The sequence below is a fragment of the Homo sapiens genome, chromosome 8 (genome assembly GCF_000001405.40).
Source record: "Homo sapiens chromosome 8, GRCh38.p14 Primary Assembly".
Taxonomy (NCBI): domain Eukaryota; kingdom Metazoa; phylum Chordata; class Mammalia; order Primates; family Hominidae; genus Homo; species Homo sapiens.
In genome coordinates this window covers 138,713,038-138,725,720 of record NC_000008.11, presented here as the reverse complement: position 1 = coordinate 138,725,720, position 12,683 = coordinate 138,713,038, and the positions used below count along the sequence as shown (strand labels likewise).

At 48.0% G+C, this 12,683-nt stretch overlaps 1 protein-coding gene across 13 annotated transcripts in view; it reads left to right on the top strand.

Moving 5' to 3' along the window:
- The window catches only part of COL22A1 (collagen type XXII alpha 1 chain), a 325,807-nt gene that overhangs the window by 188,321 nt on the left and 124,803 nt on the right, over positions 1-12,683 (top strand). For 10 of the 13 annotated variants that reach the window (XR_001745487.2, XM_017013150.3, XM_011516886.4 and 7 more), the window contains 7 exons: positions 281-334; positions 1,053-1,106; positions 3,632-3,685; positions 4,929-4,982; positions 8,852-8,896; positions 9,432-9,494; positions 9,986-10,039. Coding sequence is in view for 12 of the 13 variants with exons in the window: in XM_017013150.3 (XP_016868639.1) it covers positions 281-334; positions 1,053-1,106; positions 3,632-3,685; positions 4,929-4,982; positions 8,852-8,896; positions 9,432-9,494; positions 9,986-10,039 (378 nt within the window). In the remaining variant the exon portion in view is untranslated. The remainder of the gene's footprint in view (positions 1-280; positions 335-1,052; positions 1,107-3,631; positions 3,686-4,928; positions 4,983-8,851; positions 8,897-9,431; positions 9,495-9,985; positions 10,040-12,683) is intronic. The other 3 variants (XM_011516885.3, XM_047421412.1, XM_017013151.2) reach the window with 2 other exon arrangements.

Sequence of the window (12,683 nt, the reverse complement as noted above, 5' to 3'; positions counted from 1 at the left end):
TAAATGTTCAAACATTTTGAATATATAGCAGAATAGATAATATTACAGGCGATGGCATGCCCATCACCCAAATATGAAATGTTAGCATTTTGCAAATTTTGGTTCCAATCTTTTCCTTTTGCTTTTGCTTATTTTTGTTTGAAAAATCAGGCATTACAAATAAAGTTAAAATCCCACCTCATCCTCCTGTCCCCTTCCCTTTGCCTCTTTCAAATGCCCACTGTCCCTAGGAGGCTCATCAGGACCCATCTGTAGCCCACCAAATGCTCTTTCTCTACAGGGCCCTCCAGGACCCCCTGGTGTCCCAGGCCCCCCTGGACCGGGAGGTTCTCCGGTAAGACTGGCTTTGATTTTCTACAGGGGCTCTTAGATGGTGGTTTCCTGGCCTGTGGGACCTGGGGACATCTTTGTGAATGGCCTCTTGTCTTTTATCCACCCAAGTCCAGTGCAAAAACACACACAGGAGGACCCCGACACGTAGAACCGCCAGCTTCTGGACTCTCCGACCTTCGGAACCCTTAGGTTAGAGTATCACTGGAGCTAATGTGGCACTTTGGTGGCTGCCTCCAGAGTCCAGCATGTAGAAGGCATGTTAGCCTGGGGTTGCCCATTCGGATGTCTTTTTGTAGTTTGTGATTTGGCTTTGAGGCAAAACAGAGGACCCGGGCAAGCATTTGCTAACATTTCCCCTCCCATCTTTTGGGGCTGCTGAAAAAGTGTCCTGAAAGTGGGCATGGGGGAGTGGGGAGAATCCACACCCACCTACGGAGTGGGTCAGGCCCTGCCATCAGCAGAGGGAGGCAGCTCCCTCTGTCCCGGCAGGTGGCATTGGATAGGAAGGACGCCCCGACTGCAGGCCGCACAAGCCACGGACGTGTCAACTTCAGAGGTGCAACAACTCCGCGTTTCACAGCGGATGACCAAGGACAGTAGAGGCCCCAGGGTGCCCTCCTCAGACCCAGAGGCCTGGGCCCATGCCAGGAAAGAGGTTGAGTCAATGATCTGATCTCTGAACAGGCCAGGCTAACAGGGTCCATGTGGTCCCCTTTCAGGGTTTGCCTGGAGAGATCGGCTTCCCGGGAAAGCCTGGACCTCCTGGGCCCACGGTGAGTGTTCGGAAACATCTTCCTGCTCCCCTCCTCCCTCTCCCCATTGCTCTGGGGGGAGCACTGAGCCCTTGCAGCTGGCCCAGAGCCACTTTCCTAGAGCTGAGGACTCCTTGGCCAGCAAGGCCTGCAGCCCCGGAGCTCAGCTGGGTCTTCTTTCTGTGGTGGCTCACTCGTGCTAGTGCCCTGTCTGTGGGAAGGCTCCCTGGGTGCCCTGGCCAGGGTGCGGATTAGGACCACAGTCCCTAGGCCACTGACCTTTCTCTTTTCACCAAAAGACACATTCAAGAGTCCTTTGCTGCTGAAGGCATGACCGCTTGTCCTTGAGGAATACCCAGAGGGGACCAGAAGCAACAGGCGGGGAGCTGTGTGGCAGCCCTTCCCATTACGATCCTGATCATGTTTTCTCCCTTGCAAACTGAGAGACCTGGGGGATCTTAGGGGGCAGGTGGAGCTTAGAAAACATTAATGTCTCCCCAGATAGGAGGGGCACAGTTAAAGTTGGCTTGCAGCTCTTTAGGGCAGGATGATGGATGACGTGGGCTGAGACCTGGGTAGATCTCATGATCTACCCTCAGGGAGGCCCCTGGGCCACCTTAAAGGGATTTCCTTACAGCTAGTTCTCCCTCATTGAGCCCAGATGGGGAAGGCCCCAGCTGGAAGGCTCCTGATGCTGGAGGAGGGGTGAGGCGGAGGTGAAGCAGATTGGGTAACACATGGGGCAGGTCTCCCCACTTCTCCATGGAGCACAGATCCATGGGAGAATGTGGATCAAGGCGCCCAGGGGGCCTGTGGTCGTGGTAACACCAGCGTCCTCCCCAGCTCTGTTGCTCCCCAGTGCAGCATGCCAAAGGGTACTGGACATGAATTCAGTGCCGCGCTGGGCACTCAGGTGATCTGATTGCGTGTGGGAGGAACACTGGCTGAATGGCACCATCACCGGCAAACGTTTCTAAACACACAGTCAACTGCAACGTCACCAATAAACATTTTCCATGAGTGACGGGATCATCTGAAAGCTCAAACACATGAGCAATCCCATCCGATCCAAAGGGCTCATCAGAAAGTATGCAGATCGGTGTGAACATTCAGAGGAGGGGAGCGTGTTAGAGGAAGAAAGACACTGTGAGCATTTCTCATCTGTCAAGATGCAGCTGTAGCCACAGAAGGTTTGAAGCACAGCTTCTGGCCTTGGCATTTGCTCCTGGTCAAGATCCTGCTTTCATTGACTCAGGCAGCCTTAATCCCCTCAAAAGCCCTTCCTCCTGCCTTCCTAAAGCCTTGGCTTCCAGGACACCTGCTCTGTGCAGGCGGGGCTGTCTTTTCACTAGTCGCCAGTCCAAGCTGGAGGCACAGGGAGAGATGAGTCAAATTGGGTGGCAGCAGGTTCTGTGGGTGGAAGAATCACCAGGGTTATAAAAAACGTTCACTTTTGAACAGCACTAATAGCTCTGAAAGCAATAGCACAGAAGATATTCCGCTGGGGGAAATGATTTCCCTAATGTCAGTCATGGGGAAGAGTGTGTGTGCCTGACACATTTTTTTTTTCCTTCAACTTTTAAGTTCCAGGGTACGTGTGCAGGATGTGCAAGCTTGTTACATAGGTAAACATGTGCCATGGTGGTTTGCTGCATAGATCAACCCATCACCTGGGTATTAAGCCCAGCATACATTAGCTATTCTTCCTGATGCTCTCCCTCCCCCTGCACACCTCCCTCCACACCCCAACAGGCCCCAGGGTGTGTTTTCCACCACCCCCCCCCCGCCCCCATGTGACCCGATATCATTTAAGGCACAGAGGAAAAGGAGAAGATGAAGTGTCTCTGGTGTAGTGGAAGGAGCCTGGAGGTGGAGTCCGTTAAACCTTGCAGGTCCCAGTCACCAGCTCTGTGACCTTGAGTGAGTCACTCAGCCTGCAGAGCCTTCGTCTCCTCACCTGCAAACAGCTGCAGTAACACCTGTCCTGCCATATCCTCATGGTAGAAGGAAACTCCTGGTGTTGGAAAGTATAACGTGGAGCTCCTCAGTGCTGGCATTCGAAATAACAGGCAGTAATGCCAAACCATGCTGAGAGATTGAGGTTTTGCTTTTTTGAAGGACAAGAGGAAGGGAGGATAGCAGTGGGAAGGAAGATACAAGATGGCAAAAAGATTCTGGAGAGGAGAGAGGAGGAGCAGTGTGGACATTGTTGTCCCCAGGGCCTCCTGGAAGCTGAGGGTAGAAATAGAACCATCAGAGCAAGATTTGGCAGATGTCCTCCCACGCCCCCACCCTCCATGCATGGCCAGTGTACTGAAAATCAGACATTGCCCAGAGGGTGATATTTGCTTCAGTAGTAACAAAGGGAAATGTGGTCAGACAGAGACCACAGTCGCTCTGGAGACAGGGCCCTGCTAATCAAAGAGCAGACGCCCGAGCCTCCTGCATTCTGGCTGCAAAAACAGCTCCTGGTTTGAAACAACTTAATGTAAGCCTTTCCTAAATATGCCTTTCCTTTTTATTTATGTTTTCCCCTCTTGGCCCAGGGACCCCCTGGAAAGGACGGGCCAAATGGACCACCAGGTCCGCCAGGAACCAAGGTTGGTCACTGATGCGGTTGGCACCAGTTTGGGAACCCAAAACACAGAAACTAAAGAGATGCTTGATTGTTGGTGAATTCTACAACAAGTCAATTGCCTGGGTCTTCGATCAGGATTCAGTTGAAATGTTTGGATTTATGGGGTCAGATGGGGGAAGGCTCCTTATTTATTCTCAGATAACTGCAGAAGGATTTAGAAGCCCTAGGCTTTAAAATTTAGCCAGGCACAGTGGCTCACAGCTGTAATCCCAGCATTTTGGGAGGCCTAGGCAGGAATTAGCCTGGCATGGGGGTGGGCACCTGTATTCCCATTCACTTGGGAGGCCAAGGTGGGAGGATTGCTTGAGCCCAGGAATTTGAGGCTGCAGTGAGCTATGATTGTGCCATTGCACTATAGCCTGGGCAACAGAGAGAGACCTGTCTCAAAAAAAAAATTTGATCTGTTAGAAATACGTTTATTTATGTATTTATTTTATTTTCAAGGAGGAAAACTTCTAAATACTCTTACTAACATAATAAGAGATTTCAATTTTAACAATGTTCTGGTGGGGCTTATGGTAGAATTATTAAGGTAAGAGTCAAAGGTTAAATAGCATAAAACTGGGGAGCAAATACAGGTTTCAATACTTTAAATGAATTATTATACAACCATACCAGTATTTTAGCAAATGAACAAATGAACTTTATTCTTTCCTGTGAGCACACCCAGACTCAAGTATGCACCTCAACAGTCCTTGAAAGGCAACTTGGAAAGGCAACTGTTGAATATTACGGGAAAATGTGTTGTCATTTTTCAATAAACAGACTTACAAGGTCAACTTCATGGCAAAATACAGAATAAGTGTGGATTTAATTTAGTTTTCTAGGCATTGAATGTAAATATTGTGAATTTTTTTCTTTCCCGTCTTTTGAGACAAAGGATCATGGCTGACCAAGTATTTTTTTTATTCTTAGAAACACTTATGCAACATCTTCCTTTCTTCTAAATCTCTCAATAAGAGAGAATGCCAATTCTCCTCAATTATATTTTTCTAAATCAAAATTACAGCTATTGAATATGGAACCTAGGAGGCTGAATGAGCTGCTGTGTTTGATGACTGTGGTTAGGTAATCGCAGAGTTGAAGCAGTTCAAAACCACCCGAGTGCAGGTAGTTCTCTTCCTTCCAACCTGTGCCTAGTACTTTGTGTTGTTTAATCCAAGCATGGCCCGTCTCCTGTTAACTTTGCTCTGTATTCCTTCCAGGGAGAACCAGGAGAAAGAGGGGAAGATGGTCTGCCTGGAAAACCAGGCCTTCGGGTATGGACTTTGCCTCTTTTTCCCATTATGCTTGCTATTCTGAGTGGTCTATTTGGGGTGGTGTGTGAATCTCGACTTACCATAAGCATAGCGTCTATATCAGCTGGGACCTGGCAGGAGACACATCAGATACTTGAAAAGGGGCAGGGTTAAGGGCTCCAACCAGGATGACAACATGAGGCTGGCAACAACAGAACCAACACCACCTCTAGGACAGAAGGCACCAGAGGAGGGAGTGGTTCCTCGGAACCAAGATCTGCAGCTGGAGAAGAAGGCACTATCCCCCACGAGAGCCGGAAAGAGCCCCCACCCCCTTGAGAGCCGTGGCCTTGGGAAGAAGAATATCATCAGCGTCTGGCTTATCCTGGCAGGGAGGGAGTGAGAGGAACAGATACAAGTGCTCGCTCGCTCTCTCTGAACTGTGTTCTACCTTCACTGCGATGCTTCCTAATCCCTTGACCCTACAGAAAGCCAGAAGGCAAGGAAAGCTGGCAGATGCAATCCGTAGAGTTCAGCCTTCTCGGGCCAGCTTCCAGTGGGTGGTGAGGTGTGAAAAATGGACCTGAGGGGGAAATGGAGGCTTCCCAGCATGTGACTTGGACAGGGCAGCCCCTGTGAGTGGAGAGCCCTCAAGTGCCCTGTGTTGATGGTCATGCTTTGCCCAGGCCCCCTCCAGGAGTGACTGCTGCCCTGTGAGGCTTTTCTGCTGGGCCATGTGTGTGTGGTGTGAGTGTGCACGTGTGCATTTGTGTGTGTGCACGCATGGAAACCTGTGGTGCTGAGGAGACAGTGGCCAGACAGGAGATTGCGGGGAGTTCTGCTCCTCCCGCCCTCCACCCACAGGGCTCCCGCTCTACTGGGGTATGAGCTACTGAAACCCAGTGACCGGGTCTTAGTCAACTCTGCACCTCCCACTGCCCGCCCACAGGCAAGCACTGCTTAGATACACAGTACGGGCTTGCTAGGTGGAGAATGCATGATCAAATTCAGCCCAGCCAGAGCACAGGAGTGGCCTGGATCCCACACAGTGGGGGAAGCTGACCCCGTGGGAGGGCATACCTCAGGGCATCCGTTTGCTGGCCAGGGAAGGTGCTGGTGGGCACATCCCGGGCCCTTATGTTCCCTATTGTTTCACTCTTTCATAAAGTGGTCATTTTTAAAAGACCCAATTAAAACCAAGCAGAAAAACACACAGATTAAATTGCATCCAAGCTGTCTCAAGCACACCCAGGTTGACTCAAACTGTGGAAAGAGTATTGCCAAGAGCCACTATGAGCCTCCCACTTCCTGGATTCCAGATCCGAGGAACTCAGCCCTCATGGCCCCCATGAATGTACCAGTGTGTACCAATAAGTCCCCCCATGGCCACCGACAGACACTATATCCTTCTTATTTTAAGATTCAATATTGACATTTAAATATATGTCTACACCGATCCCCATGACATTGAAATGTGATGTCATGTAATTTGCTGTGTGTTTTTTTTTCATGCCTGTCCTGAGGTGGTTGTGTGTGTAGGGGAGTGAATCACATGGTCTTAAAAGTACTCGGGCCACCTTTCAGTGTTTGATTGATTGGATTGAAATTCTATCATCTTCCAGAAAGGATTGAAAGCATTTATCTAGGTTTGCTGTTCTTGACTTCACGAATTTCATGGAGTCAACCATACCTTATGGTTGTGTTTCCTCAAATTTGTGAATTGGCAAATCCTTCTGGGTTTATACTGTATGAACCCCACCTTTCTATTCAGTAATGAAGCAATCCATTCCCATCGAGTTTCTCATGCAGGGTTCTGTAGATGAAGGGGATTGATTACGACAATTACTGGGCTAAAATTATAGGGACCCTCTGGGATTACTCCAGCTTTTCAATCTATGTGTTTTATATTTCTGATCATCACTCATGGTTGAAAGATTCAGAGAAGCCTACTGCTTTATCTCATGTGTCATTTTTATTCAATTTCTAAGGCTCTGTGTTCAAAACATTTCTCTGAAAAGTTTAAAACTGAATTTCTCCGGTCATGACGCTTTTCCAACATACTCATAGTCCTAGAGGAGCCCTGGCAGAGGGTCTTGTTACTTTATTTTGACAAAGCATCAACTGAAGATAAAAATTATTTTCCAAGATGATGATGACTAAGTCATGGATGGCAGATTTGTGAAAGTCCACTTAGAGGGTAAAGCTGTCTGCGGGATGAGCAGAGGCATTGACATTTTGAGGCTCACTTCGAGAATTCAAGAAGATACCGTTTCACCTCCATTGTGCCTTTGGATTGGTGTTCACGACCCAAATTCAGGGAGGACTTCAGATGGTCTTCAATTTTTTTTTTAAACCAAACTCAGCCCCTTATCCTTTCTCAGCATGTAAGAAGCAACTCCCACTGCAAATGTGCTACTATTCTAGCAGATTGAAAGCAACAATTTGAGTGACGAGTATTTGCACAATTCTGGTTAGAGCAATTCTTACTAATTGTGCTTGTAAACATTGGGAATTGATGGGAGCATCGGAGTGTGTCTAGAATTTTAATAAGTGCTGACTCCAGATGTGTGACACCAGCGCTACAGGATAAAATGTGTGCTTACACTAAGCCACACTTTTAATTACTTCTTTTTTTTTTGTCTTTCTCTCCAATAAGTTGGTAGTTCTGGCCTTTGGTACCAACTGAGTCTGGCATAGCTGCACAAAAAATCTTTATAGCCTGCATACCACCTATTCATTCATTCTTTCGTGCATCCATGCATTCATGAGAAAACCACATTTCCTTATTAAAATCTACACTAAAGGTTTTAGTAAATAGCATATGAATATTAGAAATACATTGTCATTCAAGAAGCTAGTTATCTTAAAGACACATGGTTGGATAAAGATGATAGTCCGCGCTCACCACCACCATCATCATCGCAAAGCTCTTTTCATCAATGATTTGTAAGAACCTGGGAAGTGCAGCAGCCTGATTGATGCTCTTGGATCAGAGATAAAGCCCCTCTGGCCCTGTGTTCCCCACTTCATCCGGACCACAAAGTGCTAATTAGGAACTGTTGTATTCCTCCAAGGGGACTAAACCTGGCCAACACAGTGAGACTCTTTCTCTACAGAATTTTTTTTTAATCATTTGTGAGTGGTGGTATGTGCCTATAGTCCCATCTACTCAGGAGGTTGAGGTGGGATAATTTTTTGAGCCCAAGAGCTCAAGGCTGCAATGAGCTATGACTGCATCACTGTACTAGCCTGGGTGACAGAGTGAGACCCTGTCTCTAAAAAAACTAAAACTAAAAATAAAAAAATAAATTCTGGCCGGGCGCAGTGGCTCACTCCTGTAATCCCAGCACTTTGGGAGGCCGAGGCAGGCTGATCACGAGGTCAGGAGATCAAGACCATCCTGGCTAACATGGTGAAACCCTGTCTCTACTAAAAATACAAAAAATTAGCTGGGCGTGGTGGCAGGCACCTGTAGTCCCAGCTACTCGGGAGGCTGAGGTGGGAGAATGGTGTGAACCCGGGAGGCAGAGCTTGCAGTGAGCCGAGATGGTGCCACTGCACTCCAGCCTGAGTGACTGAGTGAGACTCCGTCTCAAAAAAAATAAAAAATAAAAAAAAATTAAAAAATAAATTCTAATGGGACAGTTCTAAGAGTTGTTTCTTTTGGGGAAAGCAAAAGACTATATGAGAAAGTGGATTCTGCTCTGCAAAAATGCTAAACACTTTGGTCTTCAGAGCCCATGACTCTTGGGCCTCTAACCATGCCGTATATTTGAAAATTAAGGGTTGTGGCTGGCAGGTGCTATGAATGTGTGAGGACAACTGGGAAATGGCAGTCATCTCTTTAAAGTGAATGGAGAATAATGGGGTATGTTTTATTGCATTTTCAGGGAGAAATTGGGGAGCAGGGCCTGGCAGGCCGACCTGGAGAGAAGGTCTGTTTGTTTGTGCTTTTATTCATTCATTTTATTCATTCATTCATTGTTATACGCTACATCTTGTATAAATTATTTAGATGCCAAGAGGAATTAATCCTGGTTTTTGGGAGCTCACTATATGTCCAGGATAAACTGGACATTGAAGAACAATTGAACAGATGTCACGAGTGGTGGCCTGCAGGTGTTGGGGGCATAGGAGAGGGCTTCCCAGACTTGGGGACTGTCAGAAAGGATGCTGAGAAGGTGACATTGTTGCTGAGTCCTAAAGAAACAGGAAGGGTTAGACACCAGGAGAGGCAAAATAAGGGTTCCTGGGAAAGGAAACAGCTGAAGTAGACAAGAGCTTGGGGATGCCCTAGTGAACGAAATTCTCTAGAATTCCGCTTTCTCCACTGCATTGCTTTCCATGTGATGTCCACTAAGCCAGAACATCTCCAGTTCCTGGAGAGCAGGAACTGAGAGCACATGGCCTGCAGCTTGGCCCCTGGGAGAGCCTTCCTGTTGACGCCTTGTGAATATTTTGTTCTCACAGGGAGAAGCAGGCCTCCCAGGGGCTCCAGGCTTCCCAGGTGTGAGAGGAGAGAAAGGAGACCAGGTAAGTGTGGCAGCTTCCTTCCTCCCACACAGGAACCTCGCCCATCTCCACAGAGAGCAGCCCCCTGTGGAGTCTCAGTCCCTCGGGACAGTCATAATTTTGACTGGGTGAAGAGTGTATTTCTCAGTGTTGATGGAAGGGACGGGGAAGGGGATAAGACTACTTGGGTCCTTGAGCTGGGACAAAGGACCATTGCTGGGAGATGTCTCTGGAAAGGGCAGAGCATTTTCAGAGGAGGCAGATGGGGCTGAGGGGTGGAAGGCACCATCTGTCAGGGGACAAATGGAGAATGAGGTGCTTCACGCCTAACTGACTAGTTCCCCTCTGAGTTACACTTCACTGTGGCCACTTTGCTGATAAGGCAAGGACAAGTGAGAGAGAGAAATATATACATGTATGTTTTTCCAAAGTCATGTTGCTCTTACCTTGAAGAGGCAGGAATTCAGCTCGGTTTGGGTTCTAATGTTTTCTAATTTTATCTTTTATTATAGGGAGAAAAAGGTGAACTGGGACTTCCAGGACTGAAAGGTGACCGAGGTGAAAAGGTAGGAGAAACTTGCTCTCATTCTGACCATCAATTATTATTAGTTGGGTTTTTCTAAAGGAAGAGATTTTCTGCAGAATATACTCTATCTTTTTTTTTTTTTTTTTTTTTTTAAAATGAGAGTCTCTCTCTGTCATCCAAGCGGGAGTGCAGTGGCATGATCTCGTCTCACTGCAACCTCTGCCTCCTGGGTTCAAGCCATTCTAGTGCCTCAGCTTCTCAAGTAGCTGGGATTACAGGCATGCCCCACCACACCTGGCTAATTTTTGTGTTTTTAGTAGAGACGAGATTTCTCCATGTTAGCCAGTCTGGTCTTGAACTCCTGTGCAACTCCTGACCTCAGGTGATCTGTCTGCCTTGGGTTTCCAAAGTGCTGGGATTACAGGCATGAGACACCATGCCCGGCCTGTACTGAATCTTTACATTTCCGCAGAATTTAGTTGCGTTCATGACTCCACAGCTGCTTTTTGAGAAAATAATACGCTAGACATAAACCTCAAACTTTATTGTTTGCAATTATAAACTTACAAAGAAGATAATAGTATTGGAGTTGACACCTTCATCTCACTATCCATCCGTCCATCCACCCTTTTGTGCCTGTGACATGCAAGCACTGCCTGAGCTCCTGTCCTGTGCTGAGTGCTCTGTGTCGCCTGTTTACGTTCAATCTCTCTCTGAACACCACTGCCCCTTTCACAGGTATAATAGACATGATTAGCCCAGGTGTGAGGGCAATGGAGGCACCAGCGGGGTGTGAAGAACGAGCTGAGCAAAAACCCCATGTGCCCTGACTCCTATATCCTTTCCCCTGCATCGTTCATGAGCCCAGCGTGTCATTGCTTGTGTGGTTGACCCTGGAGCCAGCCTGAGTCCAGGCAGACTGTATCTAAATCAAGGGGGCATCATGGCATTTGTGGAGCCCTACTGTGTGCCCTGAAGTGCACAGAGAGGCTTCGTTGGCATTGTCTTCCAGGCAGACACCATGTCCATCAGGAGCAGCACAATCAAAATGGACAGTGGAAGAGAATTCAATGACAGAGTAATTGCAGGTTGTGGACAGTGCTTAGGGAAGCCGATGGGATGTGGCCATACCCTCCAGGACTAGGAAGAGCAAGAGTGGGAAAGGACAAGGGGAGGGAGCTGTCCCAGAGTCCAGAGAGGCTGGCAGCCATAGAAGGAGCCTGGCAGTCATTCTGGGCAGAAAAACAGACAAAACCAGTTCTCCTTGGCCTGACATCCTCAGCATCTCATCCCGTCCTTCTCTGTCCTCTCCATCTCCTACTAGACCACTGGGATCCAGGGGATGAGGTCAATGAGACCACTGAGGTTGCCTCCTGGGATGGAGAAAGGAACAGGAGTGGATATAAAGGGACAAACAGAAAACAGCCACTGGTATCCATAAGCGTGTTTTGCACGTGAAAAGAGCTGAGACTCAGAGAGATTTTGATACACGCCTAACCTACAGAACCACGGGTGGGACTGCATGGCCAGCCCAGCCCACAGGGTCTGACTCTGATTGCTTTGGAGGGAGGCTCCAGACTGCCACTTGCCTTTGGCAACATGCGGGCAGGTTCAAGGAGGAAGAATGCACTTTTTAAATCACAGTGTAACAGAGGATGTATGCCTACTCTCTCCAACCTTCTTTTACAAAAACAGGTTGGAGAGTATGATGAACCCTAACTTGGCACACGTGGTCCGGGAAGGAAAGTCCCTTACTATTTTCACCTCCTAAGGACTTGGATCCCTGGTCCCAGCCCCTTCTTAGAAGAGCAGCCCCCACTCAGGAGCCAAGCCAGCACCCAGGATAGTGTCTGGTCTAGAGGTGCAAGTAGGTACTTCATCTATAATATTTCAGCTCATGTCAAAGCCCCAGAGAAACCTGTGCTGATCAGAAAACATAATGGAATTTTTAGAGATCTGCTTGGTGAGACAACTGCAGTTGCATGAACCCCCTACGGCGGGGCGGTGGGGGTGGACTCATAGGGTGTGATGAGGTTTTGTTGTGGATGGAGTCAGGGGTGAGGCTTTAGACTGGAGTCAGCATGATTTGGTCAGAATTTGTCCACTGGAAAATCGCTGATTAGTTTGACACATGCGTGAGCTGTTGCCAAAACCGCACATGCACGAGATGTTTGTCCACGGGCCTATTTGTCTGAAACACAAGATCCTTTGCTAAAGCAGAGTGAGCTTGAACAGCGTGCGGGGAAATCATGGGTTCCGTATACTCAGTATGTTTTGCAAGTTGCAATTTCTTGAGTTTTCCGTTGCTCACTCTGGTGATCTTCATAACAATGAACTATGAAGTCATTTTCGTCTTAACCCCCAGTTTATAGGTGAAAGAACTAAGGCATAGAGAGATGTACTGTCTTACCCACACTCACAGAACCAAAGCTTGGCTGGGACCACATGCTGACTCCAGGCTAAAGCACCGCCCCCCCACCCCATCCACGACAAAACCTCATCACACCCCAGGAGTCCACCAGACATAGGGGGTTCACACAACTGTAGTTCGTCAGTCGAAGGGCTCTTTTGCCAAGCAGGTCTCTAAAAATTCCACTATGTTTTCTGCCCAGGCTTACAGAGTGAGGGTGGGTGTGAGTCCAGACAGTTGGGCTCTAAAATACGTGCTTTCAACCACAATGACT